General features: G+C 35.9%; 1 protein-coding gene across 5 annotated transcripts in view; it reads right to left on the reverse strand.

The window, feature by feature from the left end:
* Nucleotides 1–1,299: 1,299 nt before the first annotated feature.
* Nucleotides 1,300–18,354, reverse strand: part of ASCC3 (activating signal cointegrator 1 complex subunit 3) — a 373,136-nt gene continuing 356,081 nt past the window's right edge. For all 5 annotated transcript variants that reach the window (NM_006828.4, XM_011535394.4, XM_047418108.1 and 2 more), the window contains 5 exons: nucleotides 11,097–11,248; nucleotides 9,286–9,433; nucleotides 5,815–6,024; nucleotides 3,038–3,213; nucleotides 1,300–2,639 (listed from right to left, as the gene is read on the reverse strand). In NM_006828.4, the coding sequence (NP_006819.2) occupies nucleotides 2,492–2,639; nucleotides 3,038–3,213; nucleotides 5,815–6,024; nucleotides 9,286–9,433; nucleotides 11,097–11,248 (834 nt within the window). In that variant the 3' untranslated portion in view covers nucleotides 1,300–2,491. The remainder of the gene's footprint in view (nucleotides 2,640–3,037; nucleotides 3,214–5,814; nucleotides 6,025–9,285; nucleotides 9,434–11,096; nucleotides 11,249–18,354) is intronic.

Raw genomic sequence — 18,354 nt, forward strand, 5'->3', positions numbered from 1 at the left:
AAGAGTTATGGTCTTTACTCTCTAATTCACAGTCACTTCACAGACTTTCCCCTTCTTCTTGCCTATTGATCCCTTTCATGTCTCTGAGAATGCATACGTAGCCACTCCAGGCTGGGTAGCTCCAAACTTTGCTAATGCCATTCTACCTGGAATGTCCTCTTTCGTCTGTGCCTTCCCGATACTAAGCATCTTAAAAACAGCCTAAATGTCGCTTCATGATTTTTCTAAGTAATATTTTACCTCTGAACTCCCATAGCATTTCCCCCCATCACTAGTATTAGTGCAATTTTTTTATTATAATTATGACATCTTGTCAACCCCAGGCTACCCTTTGTGAAGGCAGGATATGTTTCTGATTCATGTGGGTATCAGAATACTCAACACAGTGCCTACAACAAATCCTTGACTGGAACTTCAATTATTTTGAGTTGATAAACTCCAGAGAAATATGAAATGACCTGCCATGAAAACAGAGTTGTATAGTGTGATAGCCAGCCCAGAGGTGCATGTTCTGAGATAAGTGGGCTGTGGTGTGGGTACATCAGTTAAGAAAGCACTTTATAATACAGCCCTGAAACCTTTTTATCACAATATTTCTCTTCACGAAAACAAAACCATCCAAGACACTTTAGAACAAATGCATTCTCTCAATAATCAGCATTTGGAATTATTTTAAACACTGGGAAAATTCTTGGCCACTAAAAAAGTTATAAGAAGTGAATGACTTGCAGATATGTAAATAGTAGTACTAATCTGAATATGTTGGCATATATTCTAAGACACATTTAACACTACAATTTTTGTTGAGTAATGAGTGTGGATAAAGTTGTAGATAGTGTCGGTCACTCATTGGAATAAGATTAACTTAAATTTGTCACATTATTTCTCTTCTCTCTAAAGGGGACAACAGAAATACTTTCTTATTGTTCCTATGTCCTGTGTCGTATGTCCAGTGAAGGAGACTCCCCAAGTTGGCTTGCTCGCTAACAAAAAGGAATGATGTTGGTAAACATGGAATCAGTGAGATTGTTACTCCTCAGGTTCCTGTATGGACTGGTGATTGTTATCTATATATAATCTCCATTTTCTTTTAATTCTACTAAAACAGTGGTTAAGATATAAATTCCAATTAGGTAATAAACTTTGCCAAAGAAAAAACAGAGAGAACTCTTTATATGAAGTAAATTTCTCAGACTAGAGTAATTGGGACACCTCATTCTCACTATACTTGGTTTGCTCACAATAGTTATTTCGATTTAATTTTTGGGAAGTGAATAACTGGTTCCCCTGCAACCTACATTTATTTCTTCTTCTTTTTTATTTAAGCATGGAAAAGGATATATACAAGCAATACATTCCAATTTCAGAAACACTTAAATTCTAGTATTTGTAACAATGACATTGGAAAATGTTTTAAAATAATTCATTTTAGGGCTAAGAAAACTGAAATTATTTCACAAAGGTAGAATTTCATTCCACTAGAATGCATATTATATGAACATTGAATTTTAACAAGTTTTTAGTTTGAAAAAGTATTTTTCAAGAAGGAATTTGTTTGGACATAGAGAAATTTTCTTTATTACAGGTGAAAACCTATCCATAGGGGTGAAAAATTTTCTGTCTCAGATTTTTCCTGGAGAGCATAAAGACAAATAATTGTACTATATGATCTGTAAGTGCTACAACATGAATTAGATTATACTTCTCTACTTCTGTAAATAAATATGTCAGAAAGATAATAGAAATAAAGCCTTGAAGTAGAAGGGAAAGAAAAGAAGAACAGATGAGTAAGGGGATATTATTTAAAGGAAGCAGAAGAAAACATTGAGTCAGCTTGTCTTGAAGTGCCACTCTATATTTTATTTCCCAGTTAACCATGTCTACATTTTCTAAGATCAGTATATTGTTTTCTTTGTTATCATCATTAGGCTCCATAATATAATTTTACATCATATATTATTAAACATTTATGACTACAAGAAATTCTTGAAGCTACTTCTACATGTGATCATATCAAAGTATAAATTTTGCTAACAAGACACGCTGTGTACCACCTTACAGATTTATAGTTTATGCGGCAGAGTTAGAAATCTGTGACAAGTCCTAACACTTGTCACATCTCAATGTGGTTTTCCTTAAAAAAAGCAGCCAATATCCATGTAAACAGTACATTGTGAGATGTAAAATTTGATTGATAGCTCCTAAATATCATCCCAAATATACACAAATTAAAAGATTATTCTAAATGCTTTTTCATCTTACATATCAAGAAACTCATAAAGATAACATTATAAAAGGCAACATTTGTTAAAAGGCCACTGTGGTTAACTTTATGTCACTGGAGTCAATACTGCAGCCACTGTCAATTTCCTGGATGGTTGAGGTTAGAAGTTGATTCTTTCAAGGCAAACATCAAGTAATTCGATTTGTCTAGATGACTGAACAGAGAGAATTCTTAGCCACTCCTTTCAAATGGATTGTTCAGGTCAAGTTACTTTAATGCCAGGTCAGTCAGGGAATCAGAGACCTTGGTGTTGACCTGTGCAGAAAGACTCGCTTGTGTAACGTTGAGATAGATGTCATACTGCTGGTCCAGGCCAAGGTAGCAGTCACTCATGAAATATAATGTGTAGATATACCTAAAATATAAAAATAGAAGAAAAATGTAAAACCACTTTTGTAATCACAATCATATTTAATTCTTTCAGAACTTTGGTAGTAGGAGGCTGGGTGCGGTGGCTCACGCCTGTAATCCCAGCACTTTGGGAGGCCGAGGCGGGCGGATCACGAGGTCAGGAGATGGAGACCACGGTGAAACCCCGTCTCTACTAAAAATACAAAAAATTAGCCGGGCGCAGTGGCGGGCGCCTGTAGTCCCAGCTACTCGGGAGGCTGAGGCAGGAGAATGGCGTGAACCCGGGAGGCGGAGCTTGCAGTGAGCAGAGATCGCGCCACTGCACTCCAGCCTGGGCGACAGAGCGAGACTCCGCCTCAAAAAAAAAAAAAAAGAGAACTTTGGTAGTAGGATTCTTCTTACCTTCCAGGTATTTCAGGGGTATAAAAAGAAAGGGAAGCAACATGATGATTTCGAATATATCCTACTCTTTTCAAAGCAATAAGTTCTCTCTTATCCACTTCTCCTAATATCAAAAACCATCCTTCGTCTTTTGATTTGGGAAATCGAGGAGTAACTGCACAGCTCTCTGGCTTTCCCTGTAAACCAGAAAAAAAGATACAACATTAAAAATATCTAGACTTCCTATACCACTTGGTTGTGGTTAAGGCTACGTTGTCTTACTTGAAGGCCATACATCTACATAGTTCAGCATATCTATCTGAGATGTTTTAAATTTTCTTCCATTCTGGTTTGGTGTCTTTGATATGCAATTATTTAACTTACTTCAAGATTCTCAGAGCATATTATAGACACTAGTTCGTAGTTGTAACTATCAGAATATATGGCCAGTTAGAATAAAAAACTCTGGATCTTGACATCAAATTAGCAAATTCTCATGCTATTCCTACAATTAACTTTAATACCACATTGGTAGATGAACAAATTGAGACATAACCATGTTAATCAAATCTTCCAAAACCTTATTCACCAAAAACGAATGCTTAAGAAAACAAACAAACAAACAAAAACACAAAGCCAATCAAGACTAGACTCTGGACCCCAAGATGATGAGTACTATATCAAACACATACTTTCCCCCTCATCCAAGAATAAAACTCACATAAAAAAGCACATATTCTAATATGGTAACATTAAAAAGTCCCTTCTCTGAGGAATGGGCAATTTTAAGTCAAGCAATTTGTAAAATATATTAATCACCACAATCCAAAATTAGATATAAATATAATGATCGCACTTGAGGTCTTTATTTTAGATCAATTTTTATAAAATGCAAGATTATTCTAATGATTCTTTAAGACAATGACTTTATGGCATAAAATATAGTAATAATGATACATTCTCAGACTTCACTCAGTATTCTAGAGGGAGATGTTTCACTTACAGTATTTCAAAAGGGAGTCAGAGAGTAATATATTTTTACAGCATTCAGAAACAAAAATTAAGAGATTTTCTGGCATGATTAAATCTAAGCTTTAAGTAGAATATTAAGGTAAAAAAATCATAGTTTTCCCCCATGATTTTATCTTTATGATTGTTGCTATTTTTATTATTACTATTATTAGTTTGTAATTATTACTTTTTTTTATAAGTTGGAATACATTAAGTCATCTAAAAAATGCTCATATTGCCAGGTGCAGTGGGTCACGCCTGTAATCCCAACACTTTGGGAGGCCAAGGCAGGTGGATCACCTGAGGTCAGGAGTTTGAGACCAGCCTGGCCAACATAATACAAAAAATTAGCTGGGTATGGTGGCAGGCACCTGTAATCCCAGTTACTCGGGATGCTGAGGAAGGAGAATTGCTTAAACCCGGGAGGCGGAGGTTGCAGGGAGCTGATGTTGCACCCTTGTACTCCAGCCTGGATAACATAAGTGAAATTCCATCTCAAACAAACAAACAAATGAAACCTCATATTAAGGTCAGGTGTGGTGGCTCATGCTGGTAATCCCAGAACTTTGGGAGGCAGAGGCAGGTGGATCATTTGAGGTCAGGAGTTCAAGATGAGCTGGTCAACATGGTGAAACCCTATCTCTACTAAAAATACAAAAAATTAGTTGAGTGTAGTGGCACATGCCTGTAAAACCCAGCTATTTGGGAGGCTGAAGCAGGAGAAATGCTTGAACCCAGGAGGTGGAGGTTGCAGTGAGCCAAGTCTGGGCGACACAGTGAGACTTCGTATCAAAAAAAAAAGCTCATACTAAAGCCTCTGAAATGCCAGAGGCCAATCAGTTAATACTTACACTGACAGACTTTTTTAGAATTAGAAATCAAATGAGGTGAGACTTGAAGGTACAATACTGAAAGAACATCTTAAGAATAGAAAGTTACTGATCATTTTGTGTGTGAGAACAGAAGGGACAATACTTATGAACTACAGCTTCACCCCTGAGGGCTTATTCTAGATATGGGAAAGCCCTGAATCCACTGGACCAAAAAGAAGACTAATTCTTTCTTATTTTAATTATTATGGCACTAAAAACCAATCTGCCCACCTGCTGTGTACTAATATTCTTAGAGGACCAGATAATCAGAGGCAACAGAAAAGAGCATAGTAATCTAAAATAAAAATACTGTACATTTTTGCCTGTATGAACATTGACAAAGCTCTCCTATGCATTATAATGAAGGACGCAGGCAAATGTGGCAACTGAGGCTCAGAAAAGCTTAATGTCTTATTCAAATTCATAGAGCTAAGTGGTAAAGCTTCAGTCTCATCTACATCTAGCCCAATGTGGTTCCTGTATACCAAAGTGCCTCTAGGCCAGTACTGCTCAAGCTTTAAGGCCCTTAAAAATCATGTGGGGCACTGAGTGAAGGTATAGATTTTGAGATTCCCGCCTCCTTGAGGTTCTGATTCAGCCAGTCTGGAGTGGGGCCAAGGAATCTGCACTTTAAAAGGCACTCCAGGAAATTCTGCTGGCCAGAGTCTGTATACCATACTTTGAGAATAGTACTCTAGGCAATATATTCTTATGTAAGGTAGATTTTCTGGGGCTGAAAAATGACACATGAGGAGAACTCACGAATTTCAAAAGACTAACTCTCGCTGCTTAAGACCAGTTGAGAAAGCAGGATTCATGAATGACACGGGCACATTAGTCACATAACAGATATGTGTGGTGGTGCATGCTGGTATTTGGTGTGAAATATTTGAGAATGGAAACCAAACACTATACCTTGTGGAACCCAAAGTGGACTCTCTGCAAGCTCACTTGAAGCACATACTCTTGGTCAGCATGCAATTTGATCCATTTGTTGTCATCTCGTTTGTCTGCAGTCAGAGTTGAGACAGAGAGTTCATTATGTCCTTCAACTAAGTCATCCCACGAGCCTTTAACACTTATGCCAACATTTATCACTGGCAAGTGAGATAAGAAATTCCATGCCTAAATAAAAAGAGAAAAGAAACAATAAAGGAGGAGTTTATGTGAAATGCAATGATCAATTAAGAAATAGTGTGCTTTTAGACGAAAATTAACCTTTTAATGTTGAGATTAATTCTAGATCCAATGCAGTTGCAGGAAATAATACAGAGACATTCTGTGGACCATTTACCCAGTTTCCTCCAAAGGTAGCATTTTTCAAAACTACGGTACTTATTACTACTAGGATATTGACATTAACATAATCCAGTGATTTTGTTCAGATTTCCCCAATTTTTCTTGTATTTGTGTCTATATGCATGTATGTGTAAGAATATTGTGCTTTTAGTCTTTTTAATGTCTTTGTAAAAATAACTAAAAGAGGGCTTATCATTATTTAAACTTGTGATTCCTTTATTGTAAATCCTTCCTGATACTGAGCAGCTGTTGACTATATTAAAATAAAACAAGTTAAAAAATGTCTGTTATCGAACTGGTTTGTTTTAGAGAAGCATCTATTCAGACATTCACATGGCTTCTAAGAAGGAGAGCATTACTTGGGGATAAAAGGGCAATGTGAAAATATTTTTGTAATTCAATTATTGATGTTAGAATCCTCCACTGACCACTTATTGTACATTTTTTGGCCCATATTTCAAATTTGCCCTATTTATTCAGAAAAAAATTCTTTATATTTTATATCATAAGGAATTCTATAAGTCTAGGGTTCCTTCTAGAAACAAATATGAATTTTTGGCATCATCATACTGAGAATACCAATTAAAATGACACATTAAAAGATATTTTACCTAACTTTATACTTGCTCTTGAAGTGGAAAGACATTTGTAAAAAATCAGTATTCAAATAGCAAGTGCTCAACAATAATGAATGAATGAATGAGAATACCTAGGTCTACAGAAAAGATGTAACAAAAAACTTGAGGTCATCTTTTTCTAACATATACACTTATATGGCAATATCACCATCAGTCAAGAAAACTTCTCAATACATTGGCTTTTTTTTTTTTAATCAGTTGTTACCTTCTCAGTTAGTTTTTAAAAGTACATGGTACTTTAATTTTGGTTTTTCTTTTATTCCTTTAATATATACTATAGATTTCCTTATAGGCTTTGATTTTGCTTAGTGCTGCTGAGTATACCTAATTGAAATGAAGTAGTCCTGATGAACCAAACTACCCCTTAGGAATTAAAAAAAATGTAAATTCAATGCAAATTTTCAATTCAACTCCAATCCTATAACTTGTCTTATCAATCTGAAATCATGTCTTGAACTGGATTTTGAAGTAGTCAAGCCACAGATGGTACTTCAATCTGTACAACCTGTACAAAGGATGGTCTATCCCCTGCTAGAACCCATAGTCACTAAGTATAGAAGCTGTACCACTAGATGTTCTTCTAGGACTGGCCAGTCTGGAAAAGGGGTTAAGGGGACTTAAAAACACAATTTCTGTAAAGCATTTGACTTTGTCAGACAGCACAAGTAACATTTACCCCATGAAGCAAGACTTGTTATGTTTCTTTACCTGTACCATTAAATCAGTTACCAATATAATGTTTTGTTATTAGTAACTCATTGGGATTTTACTTTACAAAGTCCCCAAATGTCATATCTGGCTTTTATATATATGTAATTTTTGTAGGACTTAATGTTATTATTATTTTCAATCTACAATGTGTACACATATATTTATTGGATATATATATATATATTTATGTATATAAAACATGAACTATTTTTAAAGAAACTGCTAAGACATTTCAATACCAGCCAAACATATTTATCTGAGGATTAATCTTCATCTATTGAATCAGGCAAGAGCACTACCATGCATACAATTATTTAATTAGCAGCCAAATCCTCTGCCAGTCAGCAGCCGTTCCAGGCATACTGATGGGGTAGAAGATGCAAATCTCACAGTCATACTGCTTTTTCTCATTACTACTGCAATTAGCACTTAAATTGATGCTTTAAACATACTAATTTCTGGAATAATTCAGGATTTGTATGTTACCTGGGATCGCCTCACTGCAGAGCCGGCACCAGATTGCTCTGCAAATTGAAGCACTTTTGAGCCAAATAACCATCATCATATCAGACAGAGCCAATTTGCATTTGGTTTTAAAGATAACAGAATGGCAATTTATGCAAATAAATTAAGTAAGTTTACTTCTGAGTTCTCCCTGAACTAATTATAACAATGTTCTAATTTTTCATCGTATCTAAAACTTGGCTTGAAATCAATGTATGTTATGTTGGAAATCTGTTGTTGCTAACAGAAGCTTTGTTTTGATTTAAATATATTGTTTTTATTCATAATTTTGATGGTAATTTAGTTAGAAAGGTAGGCATTTATTATGAATATTTAAATAGTATTTTGTGCCAATCTTGGGTTCAACAGAAACTGAACAGTCAATCAGACATTAATGCCTGTTACACTTTTTCCAAGTCTTGCTCAAAAATAAGTTCCACTTGGAAAAAAAAAGACACGGTTTAGAAGTTTCTTAATACCTGCATTTGCAAGTCAATATGTTAATTATGTTATAAATCCTGAACGTTTACTTTGACATGTTTAGGGTAAAACTGCTTAAGACTTAAAGTCTAGATAGCCAAATATTTCTGGCATTGTTCATTCATATTTTTGGTCTTCCTAAAGATTGCTTGGAGACATGATCCTTGTTGTTTTCTGCAATACAGATTTAGCTTTCTATGTAAGTTATATGGTTCACTCACACACATAGTTTATTTGAAAGGATACTTTTGAATCTAGAAGCAAAGTGATTATAATAAGAGAGGGGCATAAACAAATAACTGAGGGCATTGCATGAAAATATACCCAAGCATACAGAAGGAAACACTACCCTGAAGAGAGGGAGTAGAAGGCTAGGATAATGCAGACGAGTGATGGACAAGCTACATGAGGCTTTTCGCAGCCAGCTTAGTAGCATTTATACTGAAACAACTTCTCATAATGCCAATACCACTATTAATTACTATTACTGTCATTATTTTTAGTATTCATTTATTGAGTTCTTACTCTATGTCAAGAACTGTATAAAGCAGTTTACATAAGAGTATCTTCCTTAATTTTCACAAGAACTTCTTGAGACATCTATGTTTTCATGTTCATAATCATAGTAGTAAATGGCAGAGACAATTTAACTCAAGGTGAGCCTGGTTCCAAAATCCATGCTCTAAGTTAGAAAACTCTTGGTACACCTTCTCAGAGTAGGGGAGCCTTCAAAACACTTAAGAGATGGTCTTACCTGTTTCGTTTTTGCAGCATGTAGCTCACTTTCTACCATGGAGCTAAATACATGGTCTTTCCCTCCACAGGCATGGATCAGTTCAGGAAGGGACTCGATGGAGGTCCGACCCCTAGCATGTGGGCCCTTCATAATCGGCTTCCATTTCCTAGGAAATAATATCAAACCAACCAAATAATTGTTTCACAGCACAAAGAAGATTTTCTGACAATGGTGGTTTATATAATTATAGCTTTTTTTGTTTTAATTAAGAAATAACATTTTAAGACCATTATGCTAAGTTTAAAAATTCAGCCAGCATTCTGTATAGGATAACAGCCCAAGGCAGTACTGTTATCACTGCATCAAATGTATTAATTTTATGTGAAGTCAGTAAATACTTAGGGTTCACAGACATTGGGTGTCTTTCCACAGGAAGGCACTAATGTGAAGTAATGCTTCCATGTAGATGAAGTACTGATCTGGACCCCTGACATGTGCTTAATGAGTGTAGCAAATGTCTTTAATATAATTACTTAAATAAAGTTTTAAATTATAAGTTGTTGGGAACATAAAGTTAAAAGTTCATTTTGAGAATTTTTGAGATTTACAGCATAAGTAGTGCTAGATCCCAGAAACACAGGCCACATAAATTTTCCAGTAAGAAGAAAAATATAATTGAAATTACATTAATACAGCACTCTTAAGAGTGCTGTGAAAACTGTATCAAATCTCTTAGGCCCCAAGCAGCTACCATAGCAGACCTGTGTGCTACGTGTGGTAGTACCCTAATGTGCGTTCTTTACTGCTGAAACCCTACTCCCATAACTTTTATACCATACTGGAAGGGCTCCTGAAACTGAGCTGCAGACACACAGGGGGTTATCTGCCTTTCTCCCCATGCCATCTGCTGCTGGTATGGCACGCTCTCTGAGTGTCTTTTAGTTTCTAGGGACATCCCATGGTAAGAACCCAAGTACTATGGAGACAACTGCCCTGGAACCCAATATATTTAAGTCAAATTGAGGGACTTTCCTGAGGAGACTTGCTGTGTGCCTGAGGTTCTTGTTGGCATCTGTGTCTAGATGTCTCAAATAACTGCCACCCCTCATCCAGATGAACAGGAGTAGGGAGTGCATGACGGCAAGCTACGGCCAGATTGTTTTGCTTGTCTACATGACTGTGAACCAATATTTTGGCTGCAAAGTATCTCTTAACTGGCGTGAAACACTGGTGTGAAAGAAACATTTCCAATTAAACATTGCCAACCCTGCTTGTATTAGACACTGTTCTTTTCCCTGCAAACATATTTCAGTCATGTACATGAGACTTACGGGTTTGGTGCTAACATAAACTCTTACGTATAGGTTATATCTTGAGCTCCTAATATGTATAACCACCTAGTTTGGGACATTTTGCAGATGCACAATTTACTTTTGACAATGGATTTCAGATATCTCAAATCTCCTCAACGATAACAGACATTGATCATTTATTTTGCTTTAGATCACAAAGCATTTTAATGATATCTTCTTAAATGAAGATTGATATTATAAAAGAATAAACACATTAACATAAAAATGTTTCCAATGCTTCAAATGGAAAATGATTTAGATAGGAGAAGTTTAAACTGTAGTTCAGCTTGGGACTGATGATCAAATTCCAAACAAGAATGTTACGTCACTTGGCCATGTCTCACTCTGGGAAACAGGAGTATTTTCCATGTCAATAATCAGTATTCTCCATAACATAAAATTTCAGTGACTACATATATAAAAAATATTTTTTTGAAATCAAAACAAAACAATTACATTGAAAAGTAAAACAATTACTTGAAAAGGTGAAGATGATGGTTTTCTATGTTTGGTAGTGTAAGAAGAGAAGAGTCCTTTAACCACCGACCCTGGATCACCATCTGAATCAGGTTGGTGATATTCAGGACAGTCACCAGCCAGCCCTGGTTTGCAGCCACGTCCAGCATTGCCTGAACAGGGAAAATGCACATGTTACAAGAATTATATCATGGTACTTGCCCCCTCCACTGGGATTCTGATGTTAGCTTTAACAAAAAACAAAGAAACCAAGCATTGTATCTCTAAATTACTATTCATCAACATAGAAACCAGAAAATAAATCACAGTTGGATTGCAGGGAACAAATCTGATCATAGCATTTACTGTACATTACTTCCTAAAAAGGGCCAAATAATCAGTTTTGTTAGGGCAGCAGGGCTAGCTACATAAAATTGGTAGCTAGCATTAAAACAAAGATAAAAACTCAGTATACTTACTATGAGAGCAAATACTCATATAATTCACTGTATTAAGAACATTAGCAGCTGAATTTAAAGAGTGAATCTCATGTAGTCTTTCAAATTTAAAATCAATAATGGTAAGGAGATAGTTTTTCTTGCCAAAAATTTATTTTCTCCAAAGAACAGCCTAAAGATAGAGGCCTGGTTTTCAATGACAATAATACACCACACCACACACTAGCAAAGGGGGCAACTGCTAGTGGTACATGTGGAATGATGAGAAGCTATTCATATTAGTCTATACATTTAATCTAATGTTTTATGGACAAACAAAAGGCTGCATTTGCTTAAGGCAAAACTAAACAGTGAAATCTTATTTAAACAAAGGCGAAGTTTACACAGGCAAAGCTATTTCAATTAAATTAGATTCTGGAGAATGCTGACTTAAAGACACATAAGTTAATATCATGATCTTAGGTAGCTATTTTATACAGTTTTAGTACTGTACTCTTGTTTTGGGAAATGAGGATATGAAGACAGGAGAAATTAGATATGCCTAGCAAATAATTAAAATGATACTTTAATAGTAAATATCTCAATGACAGCAAAATATTTATAAAATGTACAAAATCTGTTGTTAGTGGACTTTTAGAAATAATTTTTAAGGCATACTATGTTGTAAAAATTAATTTGCTATACTACTTAGTACTGTTGATAGAGAAACATTTTCCTTCTGAGCATTGAATATCCCACTCTGTTCTCTAATTTACAAAAAGTGAAAGTTTAAAAAACATCTGGTTAAACGAATCTATGGTTTTCTTAGTATATTACAGAGAAATGGATCAAAATTTCTGGATATCATGATTCATGTGATGGCATGGTCAAATTGGTCTTTAGCATCCATTAACCTGCTAGATATACATCATAAAGACAGAATGTTGGTATAATAGGTATATTTATATATGTGTGTGTGTATGAATGTGTATACATGTATGAATGCACATATTTATAAATCTAGGGAAAATCCACTTATATTCTTCCTTTTTCTCTGTACAGCAGGATAATACACTTTGTCTGTCTTTGAAGTATATGAGACAACAGGTCATGATGAATGCTACTCATAGACAAAAAAGAGTAGTTCACAAGTCACAACTCTTAAGTCTTACAAAGGGAAGAGAAAAGGAAAAGAGAAATGCGTAATTATACCTAATGCAGTATTATGATGATGTCAGAACTTGCAATGTGGAGTAACTATGGCAATTTTACTTGTGATTTTACATTGCAACTTGACTGGAAATAAATTCCAGACCAAAAGCTCACATACTAGAAGAGCTAGATGGATGAACCATATGTTCTTAACTTTGAAGTTTTCATGATGAAGTTGAAAGATTTCATAAAACTTATGAGATTTCCCCACAATTTTTCACTGTAGGATCCAGATGTGAAAATGTAAAAAAATCATGCTCACTACTTATATGAAATAAATTAAAAAGCCATATAATAAATAGAAAACTATTATTTATCTTGTTTAAATTTAGAGAAAAGGCAAGTGGGGAGACCAAGAATCTGTGATGGTAAAAGGTTTTGTGGCTCCCCAACTGAGTTGAACCAAAATGTTGCTACAAGTTTCTCTGCTCAATTACTCCCTAGTTGTCTTGTTCTCTTTGCCCCCACTGCTTTAGTGCAGACCTTCGTTTCTCTCCTGGAAAATTCTAATTATTCTTTATTCTCATCTAATTTCTTTTCAATCTGTACTTTACATTGTTACCGAAGTGAATTGTAAGAAGGTAAAAGTGATCATATCATTCCTCTGCTTAGGTTTCTTTAATGGTTTTACACTGTGTAGGGGATAAAAAAACTGATGCTTCTCTGAATGACAGTCAGCATCCTCTGATCTGTCTGGTCCTTGCTTTTCACTCTGGCCACGTCCCCCTCTGTACACTTAGTAGAGCAATACGTAACTACTCATATTTTCCCACAATGAGCCTTGCTTTAAATGTTTCCTTCTTCTCCTTCTTCTTCTTTTTTTTTTTTCTTTTTTTAAACAAATACCATTCCTTGTACTTTGTCCCTCTGGGAAATTCCTATTCATCCAACAAGTCTCATTCAAATGCTACTTTTTACAATGAAGCTGCCAGATAGTTGTAGGTACAGTCAAGCACCACATAATGATGTTTTGATCAATAACGAATGAACCTGCATATACAACAGTGGTCCCATAAGACTATACAACCATATACTCTGTAACTAACTTTTCTATGTTTAAATATGTATAGATACATGAATATCATTGTGTTACAATTTCCTACAGTATTCAGTACACTAACATGCTATACAGGCTCATAGCCTAGATGTGTAGTGGGCTATACCATCTAGGTCTGTGTAAGTACTCTCTATGATGTTCACACATGAAGAAATTGCCTAAGGGCACGTTTCTCAGAACTCAACTCTGTTATGTGATGCATGACAGTATTTTTCCTGTGCCTCTGCTGTTCTTGACACACTCCACCATCATCCTTTTGTAATCCTCTGTTTACCCATCTGTCTTTTAAAGTATAGGCTTATTGATGGCAAGAATCTGGAATCATTCCTTGTAATTCTAGTCCCAGCACAGTGCACTCAAGAAATATTTATTAAATAATATAGGTAAAAATCTAATTACAGTGATTGTAACAACATTCTGCCTAAGTTATTGCACATCTACCAAATACAGTATGGTACAGGAGAAAAAAACAAGTTTTAATGTCAGATAAACATAAAGTAATCCCCCCTTATCTGTAGGGAATATATTCTAAGACCCTAACTTTACTTAATAATGGCTCTGACGTATAAGAGTAGTGATGCTGGTAATTTGAATACGCCAAAGGGAAGCTGCAAAGTGCTTCCTTTAAGTGAAAAGGTGAATGTTCTTGATTTAATAAGAAAACAAAAGAAATCATACGCTGAGGTTGCTAAAGCATACAATAAGAAGGGAGGATAGTCTATCCATGAAATTGTGAAGAAGAAAAAATAAATTCATGTTAGTTTTGCTGTCACACCTCAAACTGCAGAAGTTATGCTTCAGTGCATGAAACATGCTTAGTTAAGATTGGAAAGGCATGAAATGTATGGGTAGAAGACATGAACAGAAACATGTTCTAATTGATGGTAATCAGGTTCTGTACTATCCATGGTTTTAGGCATCCACTGGGGGTCTTGGAACTATGTTCTAAGGATAAGGGGGTACTGTTGTACAAGATGGCAGGGAACAAGGCCAAAGACAGATCCTGCAGCTCAGGCCAAACTGGAGGATGTGGGCCTGGTTTTCAGTTTGAGTGGGCAAGCCCAAGTGACTGTTCAGAGATCCAAACCTGATAGGGGCTAAGGCCAAGGGATGGTCCAGGCAAATGGATTGGAGAGTCCTGGTAGCTTGCACTGATACACTTCATATGACTGAGCTTAGGATGAGTTCCTTGTGTCTCACTACCTTTTATAGCAGTTTTCCTGGCAGATAAGGACTAATAGGTATATGCTCCTCCCCAGACTGGGGATGGCTTTGGTAACAACTGGAGAGCATGCCTGAGTTTCCCAAGTAACCCCCAAAGTCCTTTTTAGGGATCTAATACTCAGTGATCTAAACAATAAAAGGTTGTTTTAGTACACGGAGGATAAATTATCCTTGACATTCATTAGCAGCTTAACATTAACATTAGGCAAATACTTAATACCCCTTTACCTCTTATCCACTTTCTACTTGACACTCTATCTACCAGACAAAGCTAGGATGATTCTGAGTGTTGGGGAAACATGAATGGGGGCTGACTCTGTGTGTGACACTTTCTTCTACAAAGTTGGAATCAATTTCAGTGAGTTGTTGATTCGGAATTGTTTGTCATCACCAGCCCTGGAAGAATGGAAATGTGATTTCAAGCACTGTATCCACTTATAAAATTATACTATAACTAAAACCTTATTTTAGTTAGCAAAAACAATAGGGTTTTCATTTACTTAAGAGAGGTGAGCTGGAGAGGAGGTGATGAATTTAATTTTGAACACATTTTAAGTGAGGTGCTACTATGAAGCCAAGAAGTTCAGGTGAAAATGAGCTCTGGAGAAAGTGTATGGGCTAGAGCTGTGGACTTAGAAATCCTGGGCACAAAGTGGGCAGTCAAAATAATTAAAATGAACACGCATGGAGCAGAGACAGGGGAAGCAGAGTGGGGTTTACCTGGAGATGACATCTGGAAAGGGAAGGGGAGGGCAGCTAAGGGAGTCTCACAGGCACTGCTGAAATAGTCGTGATTAGGATGGATGTTTGTTAAGCATCTACTATTTGTCAAACACTCTGTTAACCATTTAACGTAAGTTATTGAATTTAAACCATTTTTCAGATGAAGACACTGGTTTACAAAGGTAAAGAAAACTGCCTAAGGTTGCATAGCTCTGGTAAATGGGTACAGCTGGGACTCCAGTTCTGGGGAACCTGACTTCAAAGGGCTTGCTTTAACCAATACAGTATATTGCCTATGAAGTTCAGGATGAGGGGGAAGGTGTGTAGACTTTGCATGGGGCTCTAAATTAGAATTAAGGATTCTCTGAGGAATGTGCATACTAGATAAACTGAAACTTTGTGAAGTTTTCCTGACAAGACAGAATGTAAGCAAATAATAAGTTTGGATGAAGTATAATCAGTAGTATGATTCACGAATACATGATACTGGTTGAAGAGGGAATGTGGTATACTAGAAAAAGGTTTAGCCTGAGAGTTTAGAGTACTGTGCCTTTAAATTAGCTGTAATATCTTGGGCAAATCACTTAACCACTGGTATTCATTTTCCTCATCTGATAAATCAAGGAGTTTCATTAGGTGCTTTTTAATGGCTTCTATCTTCTGTAAGCTTTAATTTTTCAACAATAAAATGCCAACATACTCATACTATATAGCTATTTGTTTTTACAGAGCTTACTTTCTATTTTTCCAGGTGGACTGTAATATCCTTGAGGTTAGGGGTAGCATATACTAAGCAGGAAATAAGCTATACAGAGAAAAGACCCTTCTGGGGTCAGAGGAAGATAAATTATCTGCTTCCAGAGTATGTGGGCAAGAACTCATAGAAAAGAGGGGCTTCCGCTGGTCTCCTCTAGAGTTTAGAAAATGGGCAGTCTCTGTAAGGAAATTTTTAAAGGTGTGGGGTTCCTGAAGCCAAAGGTATCCCTTATGACTTGGATACACCACATGTCCTCAACATCTATTTCGAATCAATTTTAAGAATTTCCTACGCATAACAGGCTTGGTCTTAGCATTTAAATTCAACCACATTTTTACAGTGGTGTAAGTATTTCTGCAAAGAACAGTTTTATCCAAACCTATAGACACTTTTCTTCTTATCTTCCACAGTTGCAGATTATACTTTAAAAAGCTAACATTTTAAGCTTGACAACGTATCTTCTACATTTCATATTAAGTAAATCCCATGAATTTATTGTAAAAAGCTCTGAACAGTGAATTATATAAAGTCAGACAGTGTAGAGAGTATGCAATATGGTGTGATAAAAATATTTGTATATTATTGCACAGATTATACAACACTTTCAGTAACAGCTCTCATCTAATATTTAACAATACTAACTATGAGGCAGGCATTAATATTACCCCCCTTCACAGAAAGGGGAACTTAAGCTTAAAGAAGTTTAGTGACTATGGTAAACAAATGATGAAGTTAAGGCTTGATTTTGGTTTTCCAGTTTCATATATGTGCTCATTACACTGTATTCTATTACGTGTGCTGATTTCTGCATATTCTGTCTTGCTTCAAAAAGAATCTGAGGTGGCTTACATCTGACCTTGTTTCCCACACAGCAGAAAAATGTGAACTCCAGACAAAATTATTATGTATTTAATTCATTATTGTCTCTGTGGGTAAATTTTATCAACATATTTTTTGAAAATCTAAAATTTTAAAATTAATTTTAACCTACCATTTGGTTATAACTACATCTTGACATTTGATCTTCAGGCACTTATCTTTTGAAACATGACTGAATTCTGGATTTAAATAATCCAAAAGTAAAATAGGAACATTGAGCACTGTGATAAAATTATGTCAGTTTCATTGCAAGGAAATAGCATCACTGACCTAGTCTACTAAACGAAAATCCGTATCATTAAATGTACATAAAGAGGTAGGTTGAAGGGTGGATAATAAAATCTAGCTCTAAGGCTCATTATTTTAAAAATTTCCCCTAAAATCTAAACTTCAGTTTAAGAAATCTGTCAATTTAATCCTTAGTGTCCTCAAGTCTCTGTGGCTGTAGGGTGTATTCATGGAACTGGACAGATGGCTCCAGGCTCTCTCTGCTTCTTAGTATTCTTTAGACTTATGTTCTCTCTTCCTCCTCCCTTTATCCTTCCTCCTCTTCAAGGAACCTTTCCTCCTTTTTCCCATATCTCTTGTCATCATCTTAATGTATCTAGTGTTAGTATAGGGATTACAATAAACATACGAAAATAAGATCACTGCCAGGAGCAGTGGCTCACGCCTGTAATCCCAGCACTTTGGGAGGCCAAGGCAGGACAATCACTTAAACCCAGGAGTTCAAGACCAGCTTGGGAAACAGTGAGATCCCATTAAAAAAAAATTGCTGGGTGTGGTGGTGTGTGCCTGTGGTCCTAGTTACTTGGAGCCTGAGGTGGAAGGATCGTTTGAGCCCAGGAGGTTGAGGCTACTATACTCCAGTGTGGGTGACAGAGTGAGACCCTGTCTCAAAAAAAAAAAAAAAAAAAAAAAAAAAGAAAGAAAGAAAAAGAAAAAGAAAAGAGAAAATAAGATCATGACAAAGGTTGAAGTGAGGCATGT

This window comes from Homo sapiens, chromosome 6, assembly GCF_000001405.40.
Source record: "Homo sapiens chromosome 6, GRCh38.p14 Primary Assembly".
NCBI lineage: Eukaryota > Metazoa > Chordata > Mammalia > Primates > Hominidae > Homo > Homo sapiens.